Source organism: Homo sapiens, chromosome 9 (genome assembly GCF_000001405.40).
Source record: "Homo sapiens chromosome 9, GRCh38.p14 Primary Assembly".
Lineage (NCBI taxonomy): Eukaryota > Metazoa > Chordata > Mammalia > Primates > Hominidae > Homo > Homo sapiens.
In genome coordinates this window covers 5,472,012-5,498,913 of record NC_000009.12, presented here as the reverse complement: position 1 = coordinate 5,498,913, position 26,902 = coordinate 5,472,012, and the positions used below count along the sequence as shown (strand labels likewise).

Below are 26,902 nucleotides of genomic sequence, written 5' to 3'. Positions count from 1 at the left end.
GGCAGATCACCTGAGGTCAGGAGTTCGAGATCAGCCTGGCCAACATGATGAAACCCCATCCCTACTAAAAAATACAAAACTTAGCCAGGCATGGTGGCAGGTACCTGTAATCCCAGCTACTTGGGAGGCTGAGGCAGGAGAATTGCTTGAACCCAGGAGGCGGAGGTTGCAGTGAGCTGAGATCGTGCCACTGCACTCCAGCCTGGGCAACAGAGCAAGACTCTGTCTCAAATGAAAAAGAAAATGGGGACAAGGAATTTCTGGGGTGGGGCAGGCAGGTCATGAGCAGCTGGGGGAAGAGAGGAGGAGGAGGGAGACCACATGGGGGCCAGCCCGAAAATTGGCCTCCCTTGTGTCATGGTCAGCCAGGGGCTGGAGGTGAGTCACTGGTCATCATCCTCAAAGTCCACACTTGGCTTGCAGTCCCACCTGGTCTCTATGTGCTAAGAAAGGCCTGGTCTCAAAGTAAGAGAAGGAAAGGTGTGAATTGAAGTTCTGGCCGGAGCAACTGAAATACTTGTTTGTTCTTAGAAGGAGAGAGGTCTAGGTTTGGCTCATTCACAGAAAAGAACTTTTCAAAATAAAAAGAGATTTATTATAAGTGTAACAGATTGATGTGGGGCACTGATTAAGTATTTTTTTCTGCCCCATGTTACTGAATAGTGAAGAAATAACTGGGTAGATGGCTTCTTGTTGAGGAAAAGTTACTGAACTCACAAAGGTCAAATTTAAGTAAGGCCTCTATAGCACTGTAGGGTGACTACAGTTAACAACAATGTATTCTATATTTTCAAATAGCTAGAAGAGAGGATTTTGAGTGTTTCCAACACAAAGAAATAAAAGTTTCAGATGATGGATATGCTAATTACTATGATTTAATTATAATACATCTTAGACATGTGTCGAAATAGCACACTCTACTCCATAAATCTATATAATTATTTATGTGTCAATTAAAAAAATAATTAAAAAGCCAGGAGTGGTGGCACACACCTATAGTCCCAGCTACTTGAAAGGCTGAGGAGGGAGGATCATTTTAGTCCAGGAGTTTGAGGTTGCAGTGAACTATGATTCCACCACTGCACTCCAGCCAGGGTGACAGAGCAAGACTCTGTCTTTAAAAATAATAAAAATAAATTTTTCAAAAAGAAATATCGTTTTGTTAATATGGTAAAAAAAATAAAGTCAGGCCTAATTCCTTCAATGAGTCTTTCAAGTGCAGGGTTGGGGGCAGGAAATGAGAGGAGAGAAGAGAGGAGGAGGAGAGAAATTAAACTGGCCCACTGGCCTTGAACAAAGACAAGTAAGAAGGAGACTAAGAGACAGGGAGAAGGTTCCGAGAGCCTAGAGTGGATGTATATTATCTGAGTCTCCTCTCATTCTTGGGGAGAGAAAAGGGGTGCTAAACGCATATCTCCAAAGTTTGAGAGTGCCTTGTATAGAGATTAATACCTGCTTCTTGCCTGAAGTTTCTGAAAATGGGAGGTTCACTGGGTGTCCCACACCCGGGGAGTGAAAAGGGCTGTAGACTTATTTTCAGGAATGAAGAAAATGGGGATATCATTCACATCCCAGGCTCCTGAGTCCTCAAGGATGACCAAAAACCCCAACAGTTACTATGGCTTCGTGTGATGCAGAAGAGAAGGAAGCCAAAGGCATGGGAGGCCCCAGCCATTATCACAGGCCACTACCCTTAGACTGCAACCGCCTGAGACCTGAGCCATTTCTCTGCCCAACTTGAAGATTGCAGGGTCATAAGTTTCACCTATTCTGGGAGGAGAGATATTTGTAAAATATCTCATATTTGTAAAATATGGGATTGGAATTTTAAATGAGATGAACTCTGTCACTTCCTCAAAATGTTAAACATAGCGACCCAGTGTTCTACTCCTAGGTATATTTCAAAAGAAATGAAATGTACACACAAAAATGTCTGCATGAATGTTCATAGAAGCATTATTCTTAGTATCAAAAAATTGGAAACAAACCAGATGTCCAGAGACTGATGAATGAGACAATAAAAAACAGTATGTCCATACAATGGAATATATCTCAGCTTTAGAAATGAATGCAGTCCTGATACGTGATACAGTGTGTGTGAACCTTGAAAACATTATGCTATGTGAAAGAAGCCTGTCACAAAAGATTGTATATATTGTATGATTCCATTTAGACGAAATGTCCAGAATAGGCAAATCCATAGAGACAGGAAATAATTACTTAAGACTGGGAGGAATGAGGGGAACTAGGGGGTGACTGCTAGAGGGATGGGATTTCATTTTGGGATGATGAAAATATTTCAAAATTAATTATATTGTTGGTTGCAGAACTCTGTGCATATACTAAAAACCACTGAAAGGTATGCTCTAAATCAGCAATCCCCAACCTTTTTGGCACCAGGGACCAGTTTCGTCGTAGACAATTTTTCCGTGCATTGTGGGAAGGGTGGTGGAAATGGTTTTGGGATGAAACTGTTCCACCTCACATCATCAGGCATTAGTTAGATTCTCATAAGAAAAGCAACGTAGATCCATTGCATGCTCAGTTTACAACAGGATTTGCACTGCTATGAGAATCTAATGCTGCCACTGATCTGACAGGAGGTAGAGCTCAGGTGGTAATGCTCATTTGCTGGGTGCTCACCTCCTGCTGTGCAGCCCAGTTCCTAACAGGCCATGGATGGGTACTGGTTCACAGTCCAGGGTTTGGGAACCCCTGCTCTAAATGAGTGAATTGCATGGTATATGAATTAGATCTCAAAAGCTATTAGAAAACATGGGACTAGACTGAGTCATAATAAGTGATCTACAAATCATGAAATTGCACTGATATATGATGAGGGTCACTCACTGCCCAACAGGCTAGAAGGATTTCCCAGAATACTACTGGCAACAGTTATTAGAAAAATAAAACATTTGGTCGAGTCTCCTCAATTGAATTGGTGATATAAGGATGGGCAGCCCTCAGAAATAATGCAGCCTATCTACAACTATCTGATCTTTGACAAACCTGACAAGAACAAGAAATGGGGAAAGGATTCCCTATTTAATAAATGGTGCTGGGAAAACTGGCTAGCCATATGTAGAAGGCTGAAACTGGATCCCTTCCTTACACCTTTTACAAAAATTAATTCAAGATGGATGAAAGACTTAAATGTTAGACCTAAAACCATAAAAACCCTAGAAGAAAACCTAGGCAATACCATTCAGGACATAGGCATGGGCAAGGACTTCATGTCTAAAACACCAAACGCAATGGCAACAGAAGCCAAAATTGACAAATGGGATCTAATAAAACTAAAGAGCTTCTGCACAGCAAAAGAAACTACCATCAGAGTGAACAGGCAAGCTACAGAATGGGAGAACATTTTTGCAATCTACCCATCTGACAAATGGCTAATATCCAGAATCTACAATGAACTCAAACAAATTTACAAGAAAAAAACAACCCCATCAAAAAGTGGGTGAAGGATATGAACAGACACTTCTTAAAAGAAGACATTTATGCAGCCAAAAGACACATGAAAAAATGCTCATCATCACTGGCCATCAGAGAAATTCAAATCAAAACCATAATGAGATATCATCTCACACCAGTTAGAATGGCGATCATTAAAAAGTCAGGAAACAACAGGTGCTGGAGAGGATGTGGAGAAATAGGAACACTTTTACACTTTTGTTGGGACTGTAAACTAGTTCAAGCATTGTGGAAGGCAGTGTGGTTATTCCTTAAGGATCTAGAACTAGAAATACCATTTGACCCAGCCATCCCATTACTGGGTATATACCCAAAGGATTATAAATCTTGCTACTATAAAGACACATGCACACGTACGTTTATCATGGCACTATTTACAATAGCAAAGACTTGGAACCAACCCAAATGTCCAACAATGATAGACTAGATTAAGAAAATGTGGCACATATACACCATGGACTACTATGCAGCCATAAAAAAGGATGAGTGCATGTCCTTTGTAGGGACATGGATGAAGCTGGAAACCATAATTCTCAGCAAACTATTGCAAGGACAAAAAACCAAACACTGCATGTTCTCGCTCATAGGTGGGAACTGAACAATGAGAACACATGGACACATGAAGGGGAACATCACACACTGGGGCCTGTTGTGGGGTGGGGACAGGGGGGAGGGATAGCATGAGGAGATATACCTAATGTTTAATGATGAGTTAATGGGTGCAGCACACCAATATGGCACATGTATACATATGTAACAAACCTGCACGTTGTGCACATGTACCCTAGAGCTTAAAGTATAATAATAATAAAAAAAAACAACCAACAATCAATCACTTAAAAAAAAAAAAAAAAAAGAAAGGATGGGCAGGACCCAAACTGTCAGAAACAAGGTAACCTCAGGACTGGCTGCTTTCTTTGCCCACCTCTCGTGGTTCATTGAGTCTCTCTCCCTCAGCTCATATCTGCTTCTCTCTGCACATCTCATCTGTTCGACTCACCCTGCTTATTTCCTCAGTCTTTCCCTCTACTTTGAACTTCTTTTCTCTTTCTGGTGACTTCTGCTTTCTCAGTTTCTGCTGCCTCAGCGCTGTTCCTGCCCTGTCATAGATTCTAGCAGCCTCCTGACCCTTCTGTGTCAGGCCTACCCACCTCGGTCTTGAGAATATGAGTTGCTGATTCAGTCTCTGGAAGCCAGCCATATCCCAAAGCCTTCTCGTCTTCCTAGTTCTGGCTCTGGGAAGCCAGAGGAGACAAGACTATTGGACCCCAGCACCTAGGCATGGTGTAAGATGAACCCGGTGTGGTTCCCAGCAACTCTGGCCTGAAGGATCTCCAGAGCCAGCCAGTTTCCCAGGGTCCCCCTAGCCAGGGCTGATCAGGGTTACAGCATGTTCCCAGGACTAAACTGAGGACAGGTCTTAAGTCTGTTTGCCTTAAGACCTTGGGAATCTCCGTAAAAATGCTTGGACCAAGTATAGAAGACTTCTAAACTCAAACTCAAGTAAAGGAAACCTGAATTCAAACTCAGGTAAAGGAAATGAAAGGTTCTCACAATGACTTTGGTTTCAGCTCATATTTTTTTCTTTTTAAAGTGAAATGATGATTCATCACTTTCAATACAGTTGAGACAGCTGACTCATGTTTTCGTGTTAGGTCAGTGGTTCCCCAATATGGCTGCAGGTTAGAATCCCCTGGGGAACCTGAAACATAGAGGTGCCTGGGCACTACCTAAGACCTCCTGATTCAAAATCTCCAAGGGTGGGGTCCAGAAGTCTGCATTTTTTGAAACTCATCAGTGGTTCTGTAGTAACCAGCCGTGCTCTAATTGGTGGATTAGCATTAGGGAATCCCTGGGTTTGATGACACTGATGGCAGCAATCCTTGAAGGGAAGTAAGCAAGAGGGAGAAAAGGAAGCTGAGAACCCAAAGACAAACTTCAGCTACTTCAAGATGTGGACACCTGTCTATGTTTCTTAGATTTTCTTTCACTAAGAAGAGCTGATACCATGATTCTCAATCTACCAAGGGGGAGGAGAAATGGAAGCATGCAGAAGTAAGTTGATCTCACCTAAGGCAACAGAATTAAGGCAGGTCTCTGCTTAGAAAGACCACCTTGAGGGATAATTCTGCTCACTTGTTGTTCTCCTCACTGGACAGGAGACCCTGGAAGCAGAGACAATATCTGGTGCACCTCTGCATTCCCACTACCTGAAACATAAAGTTGCTCAATAAATAAACATCCTCTGTTGAATGAATAACTGCAAAGGCAGGTCCACTTTTAGAAACCATTGTGACTGGCTGGAGGGGTGGAGCTATGTGGAAAGTAGAAAAAGCAGTTGACACCAAGGGCAGAGAAGCTGGATTTGGTTCTACTCCTTACTAGCTCTGTGATTTGACCACTCTCTGCCTTGGTGATAAAATGTCTGAACAGAGTTTTGTAAATTACATTTTATAATTTACATAGAAAGCCTAGAATTTGGCTGGGTGTGGTGGCTCACACCTGTAATCCCAGCACTTTGGATGGCCAAGGTGGGTAGATCATTTGAGCTCAGGAATTCAAGACCAGCCTGGGCAGCATGGTGAAACCCTATCTCTACAAAAAATACAAAAATTAGCTGGGTGCAGTGGCATGTGCCTGTAGCCCCAGCTACTCGGCAGGCTGAGGCAGGAGAATTTCTTGAGCCTGGTAGGCTGCAGTGAGCCAAGATCGCACCATTGCACTCCAGCCTGGGCAACAGGAGTGAAACCCTGTCTCAAAAAAAAAAAAAAAAAAAAAGAAAAAGAAAAAGAAAAAAGAAAAGAAAAAACAAAAGCCCAGAATTTCTTGAATTAGTTGATCAACATAAATAGGGCCTTCTTGCTCCTTTTGCTTAAGTGGCATGTTAAAAATCAGTGACTTCTTTAATGACTGTACCTACTCTGAACTCTGTGCCAGATAAGGTAGAAAACAGAAACAAAAAATAAAGAAATTAATATGCAAGTGTTGCTTTTCCTACTTGTTACTCTGGAATCATAAGGCCACATGGCTGTACTTTCCAGTTATTCATTCAACAGAGGATGTTTATTTATTGAACGACTTTATGTTCCAGGTAGTGGGAATGCAGAGGTGCATCAGATATTGTCTCTGCTTCCAGGGTCTCCTGTCCAGTGAGGAGAATAACAAGTGAGCAGAATTATCCTTCAGGGTGGTCATTCTACAGCAGAGACAGAGAATGCCCAATTCTCTTCCAGCCTGCTCTGACAACTTGCACACTGGGAGACACCGGGGCCTGCGTCTCTCAGCCGGAAGTGGGATGCTGGTGATGATGGTGGTGGCTGCATATGTGCCACAGCAGAACTGGCTTCTAGGACTTTATATGGCATAGAGAGGAACTAATTAAGGTGAATGGCCTGAGAAGGCTCCCTCACTTTACAAAAGAGGAAACTGAGGCTTTAGAGGGGTTAGGTAAACAGGTGGCCAGTGGGAGAATGAAGATCCTTCAGGAACTGCAGGGGGAAGAGGACAGTGTCTTGTTCCCCATCGTCAGCAGCCACCTCTGCCCTCTCCACTCCCTCCATCATTCCTCTCTCCTCCTCTGACCTCAGCACCTTCCCTCCTCCCCTGCAGGAAAGCCAGCCCTATGCAGGGGAGCACAGGGGTCACGCTCAGAGATTTTGGAAGCAGACCTCTGTCTAAATCTCTGTTTCACCTCCTGCCAGCCGTAAGACTTCAAACAAACGGCTTCCTCTCTTGGTGCCTGTTTCATTTCATTATCTGTAAAATGGGCACCATAAAAGACTTGCTTTGTGGAGTTGTGCAAATGAAATGAGTTGATACACGGAAAGTGCTTAGAACAGGGCCTGCTGGCATGTAATAAGTGCTTAATAAATGTTAATTATCTTATCCTTGTGCCATTACCTGCTTGGTGTGGCCAACCCATGATCTTATTCCCAAAACATTACTAACTTAGTTCATTTTCCCCTCAAACTTATATTTTAAAAAGTTTAGTTTTTTTCAGATAGCACATTGTATCATTGCTAAGTGTTTTCTAAATACCAAAAAAAAGTAAAAAATAACAGTAAATATTACCCAAATACTCAACCACAGAGATAATTGCTGTCAGTATTTTTGTGAACATAATTTTCTGTAGATCCCTGGACACATTCTGATATAATGGTACTTATTAAAATTGCATATCAATGCAATTTTAATAGGTACCATTCATATGAATGCAATTTAATTAATTAATTAATTATTATTATTATACTTTAAGTTCCAGGGTGCATGTGCACAACGTGCAGGTTTGTTACGTATGTATACATGTGCCATGTAGGTGTGCTGCACCCATTAACTCGTCATTTACATTAGGTATATCTCCTAATGCTACCCCTCCCCCCTCCCCCCACCCCACGACAGGCCCCAGTGTGTGATGTCCCCCTTCCTGTGTCCAAGTGTTCTCATTGATGAATGCAATTTTTTTTTTTTTTTTTGAGACGGAGTCTCGCTCTGTCGCCCAGGCTGGAGAATGCAATTTTAATAAGTACCATTATATCAGAATGTAATTCCGTGAACTGTTTTATCACTTTTCAAGGGTATCATGGGCATTTTTCCATGTTGGTAATTACAGACCCCATGATTATTTATAAAGACTGATAAATATTTTATTGTATGGGTATGCCATAGTTTGTTTAAGCCATCCCCTAGTGATGGCAATTTAGGTTGCTTCTAATTTGTAAGTGTTGATATTACAAAACCATGGGCACCATGAATGACCCTTCACAATCAGCTCTATGCCCTTGTCTGATTATTTCCTTGGGGTAACTTGCTGTAACTGGATCCAAGTGCATATACCTGAAGACGCACATCCCAGTAAGGTAACTCATGTTGTGGGAAAACAGATTGGCCAGTTAGCTGGTTTGGCAGAATCTACATGGATATGGCTTTATGGCTTTTGCAACAATTTGGGACCTAGCTATGGCAGGGCAACTAGGCCTATGGACAGTTGTGGGAGGGCAAATATTTGGAGGCTATCCCTACCCACAGGTTTCACACAACATTTTTCAGACCTGAGTGGGGACTCCGGGAGAATTTACTGACCTCTTCATTGGTTCGTCAGTGCCCTACATTTTCTCTGAATTCTTGGCTTTTCCAGGAAGTCAGGTTAGGGAAGTTCGATCAGCTGAAAAATGTCACATAATTTTGAGGAACCTTCTGCGGGTATAATGTCCAAGGGTATTTTGCTCTACACAGGCCTGGGGCAGATTTTTTCAGGCCCCAAACTTTCCTTATTGCCTGGCAGTGATCCTGAGAAAATGAAGCTGGGATGTGGGGCAACAAACAAGAGTGGTAACCACAACCCACCAGCTTCTGCTGCTAGAGAGTGGTAAAAGATGAATAGAGGCTGGGAAGGAAATGGCCACACGAGGGGCTGCATCATGGCTTGGCCAGCTCTGGTTGGCTCCTCTCACAGGTAGAGAAAGGGGAGGAAATGCCTGGACCTTCAACCTAAAATAGAGGTCAGCTGGTCTACACATTTCCCTCCAGCTTTCCTTCCTGGCCACCTTAGATGCAGTTTCAGAGTTGAATATTGTATTACACAGGCTTCGGATGGGTGAGCAGTGACCAGGAAGGGTCAACAGAATGTGCAGTTTGCCGCAACATTTAGTCATTCCTAACTGAAACGCAGTAATACAGGTTACTATTCACAGAGGTCTAAATATTGCCAGGGCAGATCCAAGTACTTTATGTGTATGAACCCATTTAACTCTCACAAAAACCCTACGAGGTAGGTACTTTCATTGTTTCCATTTTATGAATAGGGAAACGGAGGCATAGAGAAGGTAGATAATTTGCTGAAGGTCAAACATCACAAAAGTGGGAAAACAGATTTAAGTCCCGATAATCTGGCTCTGGGTTTCCTTTATTTACTATTGCTCCTCTTTATTGTTATGATAATACTAGTAATAATGGGCATCTGTGGTTCTGTCTTCAACCAAACACTCCTAAGATAAACAGATAAAGTCAAGGGTGATCAATCTTGAGCTTGTTGAGTAAAGTGAAACTTCCTAAGAGTGATCAAAAGTGGATTAAATAAAAGAGAGTTAAATAGAGCCCCACCTGGCCTGGGATTGAGAACTAGAAAGATATCTTTAGGGACAGAACAATTGGTGATTTTAGTTGGGGGATTTGTGATGTTATCCAGCAGAGACAAGCTTTGCATTAAAAGTAGGATGTATGTGGGCATCTTTGCTTTTCTTCTTTGTCGACTCTAGTTCCTGTACCTCGCTGTTTCTTCTGTCCTTTCTTCATAGGCTACAGCTGCTTTATATCTAATAAACATACACACTATTAATCTCTCCTGAGTGTGCACATTCTGTGTGTGTGTGTGTTGATGTATGGTACATATGTAATTTGTCTCCATCAATTATGAACTTCCTGAAAATGTTATTAATTCATCTGACTTAATAAACATTTTACTTCACGCAATGTGTATCCAAGGTCATGAAATTATGACCTCACTGCTCAAGAAAACAGGAAAACAGTTGCGCTGAATGAGGTACCTAAAGCTGCCAGGGGCCCAGGCAAGAGGCCTGAGTAATGATGTGATGTACTAAGAATGAAGAGACAAGGATATCCGGGAAACTGACCAAAGAGTAGGCAGAGTCAGCGAGCTATTGTGCAGTGGACAAGAAGGAGATTGGCACTGCTGTAAGGGCTGGTCTGGAGATGAGGCACAGTGCATTTCAATTATGGATACCACAGCGAGGATATTCATTCCCTATCCACACCCACACTGGGCAGTCAACATTCCTCTTCTAGCAAGAGATTTTAAAGATGATCATGGTACTTCAACTAGATACTAGCTCACTTACAAAACACATTTGCTGCATATTCTTTTCAATAGCTTCATGTGTTTGTGTATGTGTGTGTGCATGAACATGCGTGTATTTGTAGTTATTCATTTCCAGTAACATCTTGACATTCAAACCAGAGCATTCTCATAACTGTCCTGACTTTTGAGGAAGCAGCCTCCTGTCTCACTTCACCATCTCCACATTCACTCCTCGGTTCCCTAATAGCAACTCCTCTACCCTTCCTAGCCACCCAACTTGAGGCTTTCCTGACTCCGTTCACGAAATTTCCCATTGCTTCCCTTTCACATAGTTTAGGAAAAATATCAAAGAGATACTTCTTTCTGAGCTCCATGACCTACATTCATCAATATTTCTTAGTAACAATTTAGATTTTCTAGATCCACTTTCTCTAAAAGTCCCAACTGCCCTCACAACTTAATCTTTGAATCAACCTACCCAGAAATACCAACACTCTACAATAAAGACATTTCTTCTTTCCATGCAATATAATGAAATCAGTTTTGAAACCAAGAAAGAATCCATATTCTAGGATTCTAGGACTATCCAGGATGTTTAGAAAGGATTTAAGGCTGTTTACAAGGGCTGTTAGATACAGCATACAGCATACAGCATACAGCATACGGTATACATAACATACAGTAAAAAAGCTCAGGAAAGTGGCGCTAGAAAGGGAGGGAAATAAGAAGAGGTCAGAATCACTGTCGCCTCCTCTCCCCGGGCACAAGTCAGGAAGGCATGCTTACTGTCAGGATCTGCGGGCTTGACATGCTTGTATTACCATCACATTTCCCAGGCTTACGACACCCATCACCTGGCTGTCCTCCTGCTTCCATGTCCTTTTAGTTCTTCCTCCACACTGCAGCCCAAATGATCTCATAACACAAGCTGGATCAATCATTTCCCCCTACTTAAAACTTGCAACTGACCGGGCACGGTGGCTCACGCCTGTAATCCCAGCACTTTGGGAGGCCGAGGCGGGTGGATCACAAGGTCAAGAGATCGAAACCATCCTGGCCAGCATGGTGAAACCCCATCTCTACTAAAAATACAAAAATTAGCTGGGCGTGGTGGAGTGCACCTGGAGTGCCAGCCACTTGGGAGGCTGAGGCAGGAGAATCGCTTGAACTCGAGGGGCAGATGTTGCAGTGAGCCGAGATTGCACCACTACACTCCAGCCTGGTGACAGAGCGAGACTCTGTCTCAAAACAAAAACAAAAACAAACAAACAAAAACTTGCAACCACTTCCCACCGCATTTAGAACAGAATTTGGACTCTTCACCATGGCTGTCACGGGCCTGCGTGATGCACAGTCTCATCTTGTGCCCCTCCCTGCTCTGCTCTCCACTCTCTAGTCACCCTGGCCTCCTTTCTAGCCCTTGAACTCCTTAACTCAATCTCTCATCAAAGCTCCTGTGCACATTGTGCCTCCTGCTGGGGGTACGCCCTTTTGTATGGCTGGCTCGGTTTAAATTCAACCTTTTTGAAGAAGCCCCTGTCCCAGCCATCCCATTTAAAATTGGTTCCCAATTTGGCAATTATTTAGCTTGGTCCCTTATTGATTGGTATTGCTGCATTTATATAGTCATTTGTTTATTCGTTATATGTTTCCACACATCCACTTCCTTGACCCCTTATTAGAATGTGAATTCCATGAGGGCAAGAACCATGTCTGTCTTGTTCCCTCTTGAATCCTCAGTGTCTAGCTTGAAGTTTGACATGTAGTAAATGCTCAGTAAATTAGTTGAGTGAAAGAATAAAATTGATTCTAAGCTTTCTAAGCCAAGCTTGGACAGTTAAACAATTAATAATATTTCCAAGATTTGGGGAGCAGGGGCAAAGCTAAGCAACTTTTCACTCGGGGAAACACAACTATTTTGTGTTTGTGTGTTTGTATTAAGGTCAAAGGGAAATTTTTCCTAGTGTTCTTTAGAAAGCACACTAGGTAATGAAATAAAGAGTTCCTCATCATTATTTTTAGACCGTATTTAATAACTAGTTTCAAAAAAGTTGTTTTATTAAAATAACTTCATGAAAGGCTAATGGCACTATAGATACTACAATTCAATGTACACTTTTCTTGCTAGGATACCAGTACCAATATGGTGTTGTCCAGATACTCAGTTATAACCAATTCTGATAGGTCTTCCATCAAATCTATATACTCCTCTTCCTCCTGGGAAGCTACCCTACATTTTCCAGTCTCCCTTGGGATTAGGTTATGGTCATGTGACTAAATTCTAACTAATGGAATGTGAAAGGAAATTATGCGCATCATTCCTAAATCTAGCGCATAAAAATCTCCCACTGAGATTCTGTATGCCCTTCTAGTCTATTTAACTGTATGGAGACCTCCAGGGAAAATTTGAAGACCACATGTTGAAGATGGCAGAGCCGTTGTCTATCTGAATCCTTGAATGATTACATGGAGCAGACTGCCTGCCTAAGTGAATATTCACTCTGTTTTTTTGTTTACATGAATTTTACTCCATGCCTAAGACGCAACATATATATATATCCTTTTACCAACTCATATATGCTGTTAACAATGTGATAGGCCCTATTTTTAAATTTTTGCACATATTAATTCACATAATTATCCTAACAACTCTCTGGGTCAGATACGTAGATGAAGAAATAGAGACACAAAGAAGTTAAGTCACTTACCAAAGGTCAGATAAACAGGAAGCAGCAGAACCAGAATTCAAACCCAGATAAACTAACCCTAAAGTCCGTATTTTTAATCAGGTTACTATTTACACTCTCTGTTTATGTAGTTCTAAAACAAAAGCTAACTAAATAAGCCAAGCCTCAGCCTTTCCCACATATTTGTTTCCTAAGACCGCGTGAAGTACTTGGATTTTTGGTACTGATTATTGTGGATCACAAGACATTATTTCTCAACCAATGTTTGGCACATGTAGGTCTATCAGTATGATCTTGGGTGTATTATTATCTCTGGGTTTCTTCTTTTTGTTTCATCAGGTTTCTTTTAGAAGGGAGAAGGAGACAGAGATAAGATTGTAGGAGCAGGGTGTAGATCTGGGGGTAAGGGTGAGAAAAAGAGCTTGACTGATGACTTGCCAAGGTATTATCAGCATAGTGAAGAGACAAACTCATTTATTTGTCTCAGTTAGCCTAACAAATCCATGTACCACAGCCTTAAAAAGGTCAGAAAACACAGCCCTAAAGGATCTTTTGATCTTTGAATCAGCTGAATGATCAAACTGAATAAATTTACGAAAACTAGTCTCATTGCCAATGTAACTCTTGACGATATGTCAGACATGAAGCCCGGACCCTGCCAGATGTCCTGTGTAGGTAGGACTTCCCCATACCATTATGTTGTCATCTTTGTGGCTCCAATGGAGTGTTGATTTTACCAACTTAGGGCCTAGTGGAGTAAGGGATTTCATGTAAGGCAGGGATTGTTAAAGTGTGTCCTGTGGGCCAAATTTAGTTTACTGCCTGTTTCGTAAATAAAGTTTTATTGGAATACAGTCACATTCATTTGTATTGTATTGTGCATGGCTGCTTTTGCACTACAAGGGAAGAATTGACTACAGTAGTCCCCTCCTTATCTGCAGGGGTTATGTTCCAAGATCCCCAAGTGAATGCCTGAAACTGTGCATAGTACCAAACCCTACACATACTGTGTTTTTTCCTATGCATACATACCTGTGATTTGTTTAGAGAGATATCCAATACATAAAATAAATGGTAAAAGTATACTTTTATACTTGTGGAAAGACAGATAAGCAAAGAAAAGATAAAGTTTATACATTAGGCACAGTAAGAGATTAACAACAATTACTACTAATAAAATAGAACAATTCGGGCCAGGTGCAGTGGCTCGTGCCTGTAATTCCAGCCCTTTGGGAGGCCGAGGTGTGTGGATTACTTGAGCCCAGGAGTTCAAGACCAGCTTGGGCAACATAGCAAGACAAGAGTTAAAAAAAAAAAAAAAAAAAGGACAATTATAACAACGTACTGTAATAAAGGTGGTATGAATGTGGTCTCTCTCTCTTTCTCCTTCTTCTTCTCAGAACAACTTATTCTACTGTACAGATGAGGGGAATATTACTGTAATTGTGACAGAGACCACATGGTCCACAAAGCCTGATATATTTACTACCACCCCTGTTGTAAGGAACTAGGGAGAAGGAAGGATAAGGGATAGGTTGGAGTCTGGTTGTGGACATCTTGAATGGGGAGGCCAAGGTGTTCGAATTTTGTCCATCAGTCACAGTGAAGCCACCTAGGCCCCCTGACCAAGAAAGTGCTGTCATGACAGCAGTGTGTTTAAGGAGAATTGTACTGGCTTCATTATACATGTTGAGAAGATGGAGCCAAAAACTGGAGGCAGGGACCACAGTTAAGAGGTGGCTGCAGTTATCTAAGTGAAGTGGTTAGAGTCTGGAGCTGACACTGTTGATTATCCACCAGCATTCAGAGCCCATTCCCTATGGTGACAAGACGCTAATTTTGTTCAGGTGTCCTTTCCCATGTGACTCAGGGGAAGATGGTTTCATCCCTGGCTCCAGGGTAAATCCTTGCCAACAACTGTCTTAAAGATGGGTATGTGACCTGACTCTGGCCAGTGAGACATGAGATGTGGTCTGCTAGGTGTAACCTGGAACTGCCAAGCTATCTTGCTGCCAGTTTGGGTATAGATCCACCAGTAGGGTAGAACAAAGAGGATCGCAGAGAAGCAGGGACAGGGCCATCCTACCTGTGTGTGTGTATATATATATTTTTTGTTGTTGTTGCTGTTGTTTGTTTGTTTTGTTTTGTTTTATGTGATAATCTTTCTTATTGCTTAAGTCACTGTCAACATCCTATATGAAGTTTGAGAGAGAATAGTAACAATAAATTCACAAAAAAGGAACCGGAGAAACAATTCTATAAAAGAAGCTTCAGTCGATGTTAAAGCTGTGCCATGGGGAAGAGGGAAGAGTAAAAGATTGTTCTAAGGTTTTAGCTCTTGTGACTGGGAATTTGATAAGCCATTATGAGAAATGAGGAAATGTTGGGCATTGCCCATAGTCTCTGTTTTGCCCAGTAAGTGAGCTAATCTGAAGCCAACAGGCATCCCAACAGGGGATTTGCTTGCATACTGCTACATGACTCTACTTCTAACATGTGACCATGAGAGAGATAATATGAACTGCTATAACACTGTGGCTGTGGGCAAACATTCTAGGAAGGCTCAGTTATATACAATACTCATTTTTTTATTAGAGATGTCTAACAAACATCTATATACACTGTATTTCTATTTCCAGTAGAAAAGACATAATGTTTTATAGTGATTATCAGTTTGGAATAAAATCACCTCCTTCTAGAATTCAAATACCCATTGTAGTTTTAGGTAAGAGTGGAGACTCTTTTTGAAAAATCAAAAGCCACTGAATTTATAGTTAAAAAAATTATTTGAAGGCTACATTAAACCCCGTCTCTACTAAAAATACAAAAAAAAAAAAATTAGCCAAGCGTGGTGGCATGCACCTGTAGTCCCAGCTACTCAGAAGGCTGAGGCAGGAGAATCTCTTGAACCTGTGAGGCAGAGGTTGCAGTGAGCTGAGATCATGTCACTGAACTCCAGCCTGGGCAATGGAGCGAGACTCCGTCTCAAAAAACCAAAAAAACAAAACAACAACAACAACAACAAAAACCAAGCTAAATTTTTTATTTAGCTGCTTTTAAAATAATACATAAGGAAGGGAAGATATCCAATACCTAAAATAAATGATACAAGTGTACTTTTATACTTGTGGAAAGTCAAATAACAAATTCAAAGAAATGACAGAAACTTGGGGTGACGGTGGGAAGGGAAAGCAGTGGGAGATAGAGGTTATCTTTTTTTTTTTTTTTTCCGACAGAGTCTCACTCTGTCATCGAGGCTGGAGTGCAGTGGCGCGATCTCGGCTCACTGCAACCTCGATAGCCCAGGCTCAAGAAATCCTCCCACCTCTGCTTCCTGAGTGGCTGGGATTACAGGCGCATGCCACCATGCTCAGCTAATTTTTTTATTTTTTGGAGAGATGGGGTTTTGCCGTGTTACTCAGGCTAGTCTCGAACTCCTGTGCTCACGTGATCTGCCTGCCTTGGCCTCCCAAAGTGCTGGGATTACAGGCGTGAGCCGCCGAGGCCAGCTGAGGTCTTTATTATGCATTGTATAGATAACCACAGGATGGATGCCTCGGTGGTTGCCATGGCATGGATAGGGCTGCAGGTGAGGAATCACAACCTGAAGTGTTGTCACAGCCCCAAGAGGCAAGATTCAAACTCATTAATACTGCTTTAGCAAAATTTTCTAGACAAAAAAAAAAAACAAATGAGCTGATCAATGTAATAGAACAGACTCCATAAACAGATATATACAGGTAGGTAGATAGACATAGATAGAGACATAGGTATAGATATAGTCAACTAGTTTATGAGAAAGGTGACACTGCAGTATAGTGGGGGAAAGGATGGTATTTTCAGTAAATGGTGTAGGGACAATTGAATGTCCACATGAAAATGTATTTTAACTCCTATCTCACACCATATGCAAAAAAATAATTCCAGAAGGATTACAGATCTAAATGTGAAAAATAAAATGATAGAGATTTAGAAGAAAACATGGAAGAAATCTTCATGACCTTGGAGTAGGCAAAGTTTGCTTACACAGGACACAAAAAAGTGCTAGCCATGAGGAAAAAAATTGGTAAATTGAACTATGTAAAGTAAGAACTTCACTTCCTCAAAAGACTCCGTGAAGAGAGAACAGACATCCTGCAGAATGGGAGAAGAGATTTTCAGTTTATGTCTCTGACGAAGGGCTTGTATCTAGAATACGCTAAGAATTCCTACACAATTAGGAATTAGGCAGAAAACCTAATTTAAAAAATGGGCAAATCACTTGAAAAGACACCTCATAAAACTTTATTGACAAATGGCCAATAAATATATGAAAATGAGTTTGACTCCATTAGTCATCAGAGTCATGCAAATTAAAACCAAAATGTGATGTCTCTGCATAGTCACCTAAAATGAAAGAGGCAGAAAATATTGGGAAAAATGCAAGGCAACTGGAACTCCTATGCCCTGCTGGTGGGAATGCAAATTGGTACAGTTTCCAGCAATCCTATACCATGACCTAGAAATTCTATTCTTATGTATATACCAAGAATTCAGCAATTGTACCATCAGATATATACCAAATGGAAAACGAGTTCAAAGATTCACCGAAAGACATATGCTAGACAGTCTACAGAAGTACTAGTGAGATTAGCCCCCATTGCCTAGAAAAACAAAAATATACAGGCAAACAAACATCAGATTGCTTCTGGAGTTGTCCAACCCAGGGAAGTATCAGCTTACTATATATACTGTTCCAATACTGTCAAGTTTTTAAAATCCCCTCATTAACATGACTCGAATAATTATTTAGGGGTAGCATAGTGTAGGGTATAAGAGCAAACTGTGAAGTCAAACTGTGCTCACATCCTGGGGCCATAACTTATTAGTAGCATGACTTCGGCCAAGTTACCTAAACTTTCTGTGGCTTGGTTTCTTTATCTGTCAAGAGAAGATGGTAATAACTTTCCGCATAGGGTTATTGGGAAGGCTAAATGAATTAGTACACGTAAAGAACTCAGAACACTTCCTGACATGTAATATATACTAATATATACATATCATAGCTAATACTATTTGTTAAATCTCTTCCACATGTTCTAGTGCTGTTATGCAGCACTGGGACAGATGGATCTACAAAAATACTATACTTGGATTAGAACCACTGAGGCACCAAAATACATGAACTAACTTAACAAAGGTTTGATAAAATATAATTCAAGTGCTAGAGAGTGCAAAGGTTGAGTTCAAGCTGCCCTATTTTCTGACATTTTAACACTTGGTGTCTGTATTTCTGACAAACACAGTTATTTGTGTGTTTTGTATTGTTTTGTTTTTGGAGGAGGAGGAGCTATGCCTGTAAATCATGATAATATGTTTCAATCTTCATGTTTTTTAAGGGCAGGGTGCATGTCTGGGTCACCTCTGTATTCTACATAATGCTTAGTGGATACAGTAGGCACTACTGTAAGTTAGTTACCATTTATGGTTGTGTTCACCTCTGAAAAGTTAGAAACCAAGGCAAGGGGGTCATTGTTTTGTTATGTCTTATTTTCAATTTGACTAAAGAATAGACAGAATTATTTAACTTGAGTTATAGAAATAATTGCTTTCTACTATAAAGCTGTTTGTTTGAAATTAGCAAAGAATGAGAAGTATCTTTCTCAAAAGCAAAACAAAAATAAGACATAGCTTATCCAAAATAAACATTTACAAATCTCCCCTAAGTAAGTTATGTTACTACGTAAGTAACTTCAGCTTTACAGTAGCTCAATATTTACTGACGTGAGAGACCTAGATGACTCAAAAAGGAACTGATGCCGGAATTTTAAATGTGTAATTTGAAAAAGAAAAGAAGCTCTAGTTAACTTTGACATTAAGAAAAGTTCCAAAATTATTAAGCCTATCACTTTAAATCTTCAAGCTGGCACAACTTTAATTCACAATTATTTGAATATTTAAGATAAATAGAAAAACTATACACTTTAATTTTTAAAGTATTTTTAATTAAAAATATAATTTTAATAGTAATTGAAATTTTTAATAAAAACAAGAATTTTTAAAGTAAACTGGTTCAATGAAGTTAATTTACATCTAAGAAGATTGGAACTCGGGTTTGAGTGACTCCAGGCCTTTGGTGAAATTTCCTATTCTTCCCAAATATATGTACATTTTTTAACTTCTCTATAGTTAGATTTTTTTTTTCCTTTCATAGTCACCTAGAATAAAGCAACTCTTAGAGCAGTGTTTCCTGGCATGTACAAATAGTTCTTTTCTGTTTTATGTGTGTGTGTGTGTTGCAATTTTCTCTTATATGACTGAATCATTGTAATCGAGTTTTTAAGTCCCCAAAGACCTTCAGTGCCCTAGAAAGAGACTATTTGATCTCACATATGTTAGCATTCATAACTTACTCCAAGCTTGCTAAGTCTTGTATTTGCAGAAAGAAGAGATGATTGACAGATGAAGACCTTGCATAAGGTACATGCTCAATAAATGGTAAATATCATTATTAAACTCATAATAAAACCCCATCATTGACAATTGCTTCATTGGTCAAACATTAACTTCTTTTAAAATGGAAATAATTTCGGAAATGTTTAAATTATAATGGGAATAAGTTGGTTTATTATATCAATTTTCTTGAAACTTTGGAAGCCTGGGATAGGAAAAATTCTAAAAACAGGTGTATCTGTCTTAACAAATTTGGCCAAATATATCAATAGAACAAAAGTTAATTTTGAATTTCTCAGCTTTAAAATAGTTAAATAAAGAATAAATAAATAAAATAGTTAAATAAATAAAGACATAAATAGACATCTACACTGCTAGGTTTATTGCAGCACTATTCACAATAGTGAAGCTATGGAATCAACTTAAGTGTCCATCAACAGATGAATGGATGAGGAAAAGGTGGTATATAAGCCAGGTGCAGTGGCATGTGCCTATATTCCCAGCTACTCTGGAGGCTGTGGGTGGGACGATAGGAGTTCAAGGCCAGCCTAGGCAACATAGCAAGACTCCATCTCTTTAAAAAAAAAAAAGAAAGAAAAAATGTGGTGTACACACACACACACACACACACACACACACACACACACACACACAAAATAGAATAGTATTCAGCCATAACAAATGAAATCCTGTCATTTGTGGCAACATGGATAAAACTAGAGGATAATTATGTTAAGTGAAATAGCCAGGCAAAGAAACACAAATACTAAATGATCTCACTCATATGTGGAATGTTAAAAGGTTGATATCACAGAAGTAGAAAGTAGGGTAGTGGTTACCAGAGGCTGGAGAGGGTTGGGGGCATGAGGAGGGGAGATTAGTAGAGATCGGTCAACAGGTACAAACTTATAGTTAGATAGAAGGAATAAGTTCTGGTGTTCTATTGCATAGTAGGGTGATACAGTTTGGCTCTGTCCTCACACAAATCTCATCTCGAATTGTGATCCCCACATGTCATGGGAGAAACTTGTAATCCCCACGTGTTGAGGGAGGGAGGTGATTGTATCATGGGGGTGGTTTCCCCCATCCTGTTCTCATGATAGTGAGTTAATTCTCATAAGAGCTGATAGTTTCATAAAGGGCTCTTCCCTCTTTGCTCTCTCTCCTCTTACTGCCTTGTGAGGAAGGTGACTGCTTCCCCTTCCACCATGATTGTGAGTTTCCTGAGGCCTCCCCAACCATACAGAACTTTGAGTCAATTAAACTTCTTTCCTTTATAAATTACCTAGTCTCAGGTAGTATTTTTATAACACTGTGAAAATGGACTAATACATAGGGTGACTGTGGTTAACAGTATTATACTGTATAACTCAAAATAACTAGGAGAGAATATTTTGAATGTTCTTATCACAAATAAATGATAAATATTTGAGGAAAAGAATATGCTAATTACCCTGATTTGATAATTACACAATGTATACTTCTATCAAAACATTACACTGTACCCTATAAATATGTCAATTATGGAAAATGGGTAGGGAGATTCCAAGATGGCCAAATAGGAACAGCTCCAGTCTATAGCTCCCAGTGTGAGTGACGCAGAAGATGGGTGATTTCTGCATTTCCAACTGAGGTACTGGGTTCATTTCACTGGGGCTTGACAGACAGTGGGTGCAGCCCATGGAGGGTGCGCCGAAGCATGGCAGGGCATTGCCTCACCCAGGAAGTGCAAGGGGTCGGGGAATTCCCTTTCCTAGCCAAGGGAAGCCATTACAGACAGTACCTGGAAAACCGGGACACTCCCGCCCTAATACTGCACTTTTCCAATGGTTTTTAGCAAACAGCACACCAGGAGATTGTATCCCGCGCCTGGCTCGGAGGGTCCCATGCCCATGGAGCCTCACTCACTGCTAGCACAGCAGTCTGAGATCCAACTGCAAGGTGGTAGGGAGGCTGGGGGAGGGGTGCCCGTCATTGCTGAGGCTTGAGTAGGTAAACAAAGCGACACGGAAGCTCGAACTGCGTGGAGCCCACTGCAGCTCAACGAGGCCTGCCTGCCTCTTTAGACTCCACTTCTTGGGACAGGGCATAGCTGAACAAAAGGCAGCAGAAACTTCTGCAGACTTAAATGTCTCTGTCTGACTGACAGCTTTGAAGAGAGTAGTGTTTCTCCCAGCACGGAGTTTGAGATCTGAGAACGGACAGACTGCCTCCTCAAGTGGGTTCCTGTCCCCTGAGTAGCCTAACTGGGAGGCACCTCCCAGTAGGGGCCGACTGACACCTCATACAGCCGGGTGCCCCTCTGAGATGAAGCTTCCAGAGGAAGGATCAGGCAGCAGCATCTGCTGTTCTACAATATTTGCTGTTCTGAAGCCTCCACTGGTGAAACACAGGCAAATAGGATCTGGAGTGGACCTCCAGCAAACTCCATCAGACCTGCAGCTGAGGGTGCTGACTGTCAGAAGGAAAACTAACAAACAGAAAGGACATCCACACCAAAACCCCATCTGTACATCACCATCATCAAAGACCAAAGGTAGATAAAACCACAAAGATGGGGAGAAACTATAGCAGAAAAGCTGAAAATTCTAAAAATCAGAGCACCTTTTCTTCTCCAAAGGAACGCAGCTCCTCACCAGAAATGGAACAAAGCTGGACGGAGAATGACTTTGACGAGTTGACAGAAGAAGGCTTCAGACTACTGGTAATAACAAACTTCTCTGAGCTAAAGGAGGATGTTTGAACCCATCGCAAACAAGCTAAAAACCTTGAAAAAAGATTAGACAAATGGCTAACTATAATAAACAGCATAGAGAAGACCTTAAATGACTGGATGAAGCTGAAAACACATGGCATGAGAACTATGTGACACATGCACAAGCTTCAATAGCCAATTCGATCAACTGGAAGAAAGGGTATCAGTGATTGAAGATCAAATGAATGAAATGAAGCAAGAAGAGAAGTTTAGAGAAAAAAGAGTAAAATGAAATGAACAAAACCTCCCAGAAATATGGGACTATGTGAAAAGACCAAATCTACGTCTTACTGGTGTACCTGAAAGTGATGGTGAGAATGGAACCAAGTTGGAAAACACTCTTCAGGATATTATCCAGGAGAACTTCCCCAACCTAGCAAGGCAGGCCAACATTCAAATTCAGGAAATACAGAGAACACCACAAAGATACTTCTTGAGAAGAGCAACTCCAAGACACATAATTTTCAAATTCACCAAAATTGAAATGAAGGAAAAAATGTTAAGGGCAGCCAGAGAGAAAGGTCGAGTTACCCACAAAGGGAAGCCCATCAGACTAACAGCGGATCTCTCAGCAGAAACTCTACAAGCCAGAAGAGAGTGGGGGCCAATATTCAACATTCCTAAAGAAAAGAATTTTCAACCCAGAATTTCATATCCAGCCAAACTAAGCTTCATAAGTGAAAGAGAAATAAAATCCTTTATAGACAAGCAAATGCTGAGAGATTTTGTCACCACCAGGCCTGCATTACAAGAGCTCCTGAAGGAAGCACTAAACATGGAAAGGAACAACCAGTACCAGCCACTGCAAAAACATGCCAAATTGTAAAGACCATCAATGCTAGGAAGAAACTGCATCAACTAATGCGCAAAATAACCAGCTAACATCATAATGACAGGATCAAATTCACACATAACAATAGTAACCTTAAATGTAAATGGGCTAAATGATCCAATTAAAAGACACAGACTAGCAAATTGGATAAAGGGTCATGACCCATCAGTGTGCTGTATTCAGGAGACCCATCTCACGTGCAGAGACACACATAGGCTCAAAATAAAGGGATGGAGGAAGATCTACCAAGCAAATGGAAAACAAAGAAAAGCAGGGGTTGCAATCCTAGTCTCTGATAAAACAGACTTTAAACCAACAAAGATCAAAAGAGACAAAGAAGGCCATTATGTAATGGTAAAGGGATCAATTCAACAAGAAGAGCTAACTATCCTAAATATATATGCACCTAGTACAGGAGCACCCAGATTCATAAAGCAAGTCCTTAGAGACCTACAAAGAGACTTAGACTCCCACACAATAATAATGGGAGACTTTAACACCCCACTGTCAACATTAACAGATCAATGAGACAGAAAGTTAACAAGAATATCCAGGACTTGAACTCAGCTCTGCACCAAGTGGATGTAATAGACATCTACAGAACTCTCCCCACAAATCAACAGAATATACATTCTTCTCAGCACCACATCACACTTACTCCAAAACTGACCACATTGTTGGAAGTAAAGCACTCCTCAGCAAATGTAAAAGAACAGAAATTATAACAAACTGTCTCTCAGACCACAGTGCAATCAAACTAGAACTCAGGATTAAGAAACTCACTCAAAACTGCTCAACTACATGGAAACTAAACACTGAACAACCTGCTCCTGAATGACTACTGGGTACATAACAAAATGAAGGCAGAAATAAAGATGTTCTTTGAAACCAACGAGAACAAAGACACAACATACCAGAATCTCTGGGACACATTTAAAGCAGTGTGGAGAGGGAAATTTAGAGCACTAAATGCCCACAAGAGAAACCAGGAAAGATCTAAAATTGACACCTTAACCTCACAATTAAAAGAACTAGAGAAGCAAGAGCAAACACATTCAAAAGCTAGCAGAAGGCAAGAAATAACTAAGATCAGAGCAGAACTGGAGGAGATAGAGCCATGAAAAACCCTTCAAAAAATCAATGAATCCAGGAGCTGGTTTTTTGAAAAGATCAACAAAATTGATAGACCGCTAGCAAGACTAATAAAGAAGAAAAGAGAGAAAAATCAAATAGATGCAATAAAAAATGATAAAGGGGATATCACTACTGATCCCACAGAAATACAAACTACTATCAGAGAATAATATAAATACCTCTACGTAAATAAACTAGAAAATCTAGAAGAAATGGATAAATTCCTGGACACATACACCCTCCCAAGACTAAACCAGGAAGAATTTGAATCTCTGAATAGACCAATAACATGCTCTGAAATTGAGGCAATAATTAATAGCCTACCAACCAAAAAAAGTCCAGGACAAGATGGATTCACAGCTGAATTCTACCAGAGGTACAAAGAGGAGCTGGTACCATTCCTTCTGAAACTATGCTAATCAATAGAAAAAGAGGGAATCCTCCCTGACTCATTTTATAAGGCCAGCATCATCCTGATACCAAAGCCTGGCAGAGACACAACAAAAAAAGAGAATTTTAGACCAATATCCCTGATGAACGTCGATGCAAAAATCCTCAGTAAAATACTGGCAAACTGAATCCAGCAGCACATCAAAAAGCTTATCCACCACCATGAAGTTGGCTTCATCCCTGGGATGCAAGGCTGGTTCAACGTAACGCAAATCAATAAACGTAATCCATCATATAAACAGAACCAAAGACAAAAACTATATGTTTATCTCAATAGATGCAGAAAAGGCCTTCGACAAAATTCAACAGCGCTTCATGCTAAAAACTCTCAATAAACTAGGTATTGATGGGACGTATCTCAAAATAATAAGAGCTAGTTATGACAAATCCACAGCCAATATCATACTGAATGGGCAAAAACTGGAAGAATTCCCTTGGAAAACTGGCACAAGACAGGGATGTCCTCTCTCACCACTCCTATTCAACACAGTGTTGGAAGTTCTGGCCAGGGCAGTCAGACAAGAGAAAGAAATAAAGGGTATTCAGTTAGGAAAAGAGGAAGTCAAATTGTCCCTGTTTGCAGATGACATGATTGTGTATTTAGAAATCCCCATCGTCTCAGCGCAAAATCTCCTTAAGCTGATAAGCAACTTCAGCAAAGTCTCAGGATACAAAATCAATGTGCAAAAATCACAAGCGTTCCTATACACCAACAACAGACAAACACAGAGCCAAATCATGAGTGAACTCCCATTCACAATTGCTTCAAAGAGAATAAAATACCTAGGAATCCATCTTATAAGGGATGTGAAGGACCTCTTCAAGGAGAACTACAAACCACTGCTCAATGAAATAAAAGAGGACACAAACCGAAGGAAGAACATTCCATGCTCATGGATAGGAAGAATCAATATCGTGAAATGGCCCTACTGCCCAAGGTAATTTATAGATTCAATGCCATCCCCATCAAGTTACCAATGACTTTCTTCACAGAATTGGAAAAAACTACTTTAAAGTTCATATGGAATCAAAAAAGAGCCTGCATTGCCAAGACAATCCTAAGCCAAAAGAAAAAAGCTGGAGGCATCACGCTACCTGACTTCAAACTATACTATAGGGCTACAGTAACCACAACAGCATGGTACTGGTACTGAAACAGAGATCTAGACCAATGGAACAGAACAGAGCCCTCAGAAATAATACCACACATCCACAACCATCTGATCTTTGACAAACCTGACAAAAACAAGAAATGGGGAAAGGATTCCCTATTTAATAAATGGTGCTGGGAAAACTGGCTAGCCATATGTAGAAAGCTGAAACTGGATCCCTTCCTTACACCTTATACAAAAATTAATTCAAGATGGATTAAAGACTTAAATGTTAGACCTAAAACCATAAATACCCTAGAAGAAAACCTAAGCAATACCATTCAGGACATAGGCATGGGCAAGGACTTCATGACTAAAACACTGGAAGCAATGGCAACAAAAGCCAAAATTGACAAATGGGATCTAATTAAACTAAAGAGCTTCTGCACAGCAAAAGAAACTACCATCAGAGTGAACAGGCAACCTACAGAATGGGAGAACATTTTTACAATCTACCCATCTGACAAAGGGCTAATATCCAGAATCTACAAAGAACTTAAACAAATCTACAAGAAAAAATCAAACAACCCCATCAAAAAGTGGGTGAAGGATATGAACAGACACTTCTCAAAAGAAGACATTTATGCAGCCAACAGACACATGAAAAAAAGCTCACCATCACTGGCCATCAGAGAAATACAAATCAAAACCACAATGAGATACCATCTCACACCAGTTAGAATGGCGATCATTAAAAAGTCAGGAAACAACAGGTGCTGGAGAGGATGTGGAGAAATAGGAACGCTTTTACACTGTTGGTGGGAGTGTAAACTAGTTCAACCATTGTGGAAGACAGTGTGGCAATTCCTCAGGGATCTAGAACTAGAAATACCATTTGACCCAGCCATCCCATTACTGGGTATATACCCAAAGGATTATAAATCATGCTGCTATAAAGACACATGCACATGTATGTTTATTGCAGCACTATTCACAATAGCAAAGACTTGGAACCAACCCAAATGTCCACCAATGATAGACTGGAGTAAGAAAATGTGGCACATATACCCCATGGAATACTATGCAGCCATAGAAAAGGATGAGTTCATGTCCTTTGTAGGGACGTGGATGAAGCTGGAAACCATTCTCAGCAAACTATTGCAAGGACAAAAAACCAAACACCGCATGTTCTCACTCATAGGTGGGAAATGAACAATGAGAACACTTGGA

At 40.6% G+C, this 26,902-nt stretch overlaps 1 long non-coding RNA gene across 1 annotated transcript in view, besides 4 other annotated features; it reads left to right on the top strand.

The window, feature by feature from the left end:
- Positions 1-26,902, top strand: part of INCR1 (interferon stimulated noncoding RNA 1) — a 172,297-nt gene that overhangs the window by 130,814 nt on the left and 14,581 nt on the right. The gene's annotated exons all lie outside the window — the stretch shown is intronic.
- Positions 4,814-4,873: an enhancer, noted in NCBI's record as "active region_28165". NCBI's record gives its function as "activates an Ori minimal core promoter by ATAC-STARR-seq in GM12878 lymphoblastoid cells {active_cell/tissue: GM12878}" and the evidence as "EXISTENCE:reporter gene assay evidence [ECO:0000049][PMID:35858748]".
- Positions 4,904-5,153: an enhancer, noted in NCBI's record as "active region_28164". NCBI's record gives its function as "activates an Ori minimal core promoter by ATAC-STARR-seq in GM12878 lymphoblastoid cells {active_cell/tissue: GM12878}" and the evidence as "EXISTENCE:reporter gene assay evidence [ECO:0000049][PMID:35858748]".
- Positions 5,364-5,453: an enhancer, noted in NCBI's record as "active region_28163". NCBI's record gives its function as "activates an Ori minimal core promoter by ATAC-STARR-seq in GM12878 lymphoblastoid cells {active_cell/tissue: GM12878}" and the evidence as "EXISTENCE:reporter gene assay evidence [ECO:0000049][PMID:35858748]".
- Positions 16,275-16,776: an enhancer, noted in NCBI's record as "OCT4 hESC enhancer chr9:5482138-5482639 (GRCh37/hg19 assembly coordinates)". NCBI's record gives its function as "activates a minimal SCP1, AML or CMV promoter by ChIP-STARR-seq in primed H9 embryonic stem cells {active_cell/tissue: H9 hESC(primed)}" and the evidence as "EXISTENCE:reporter gene assay evidence [ECO:0000049][PMID:30033119]".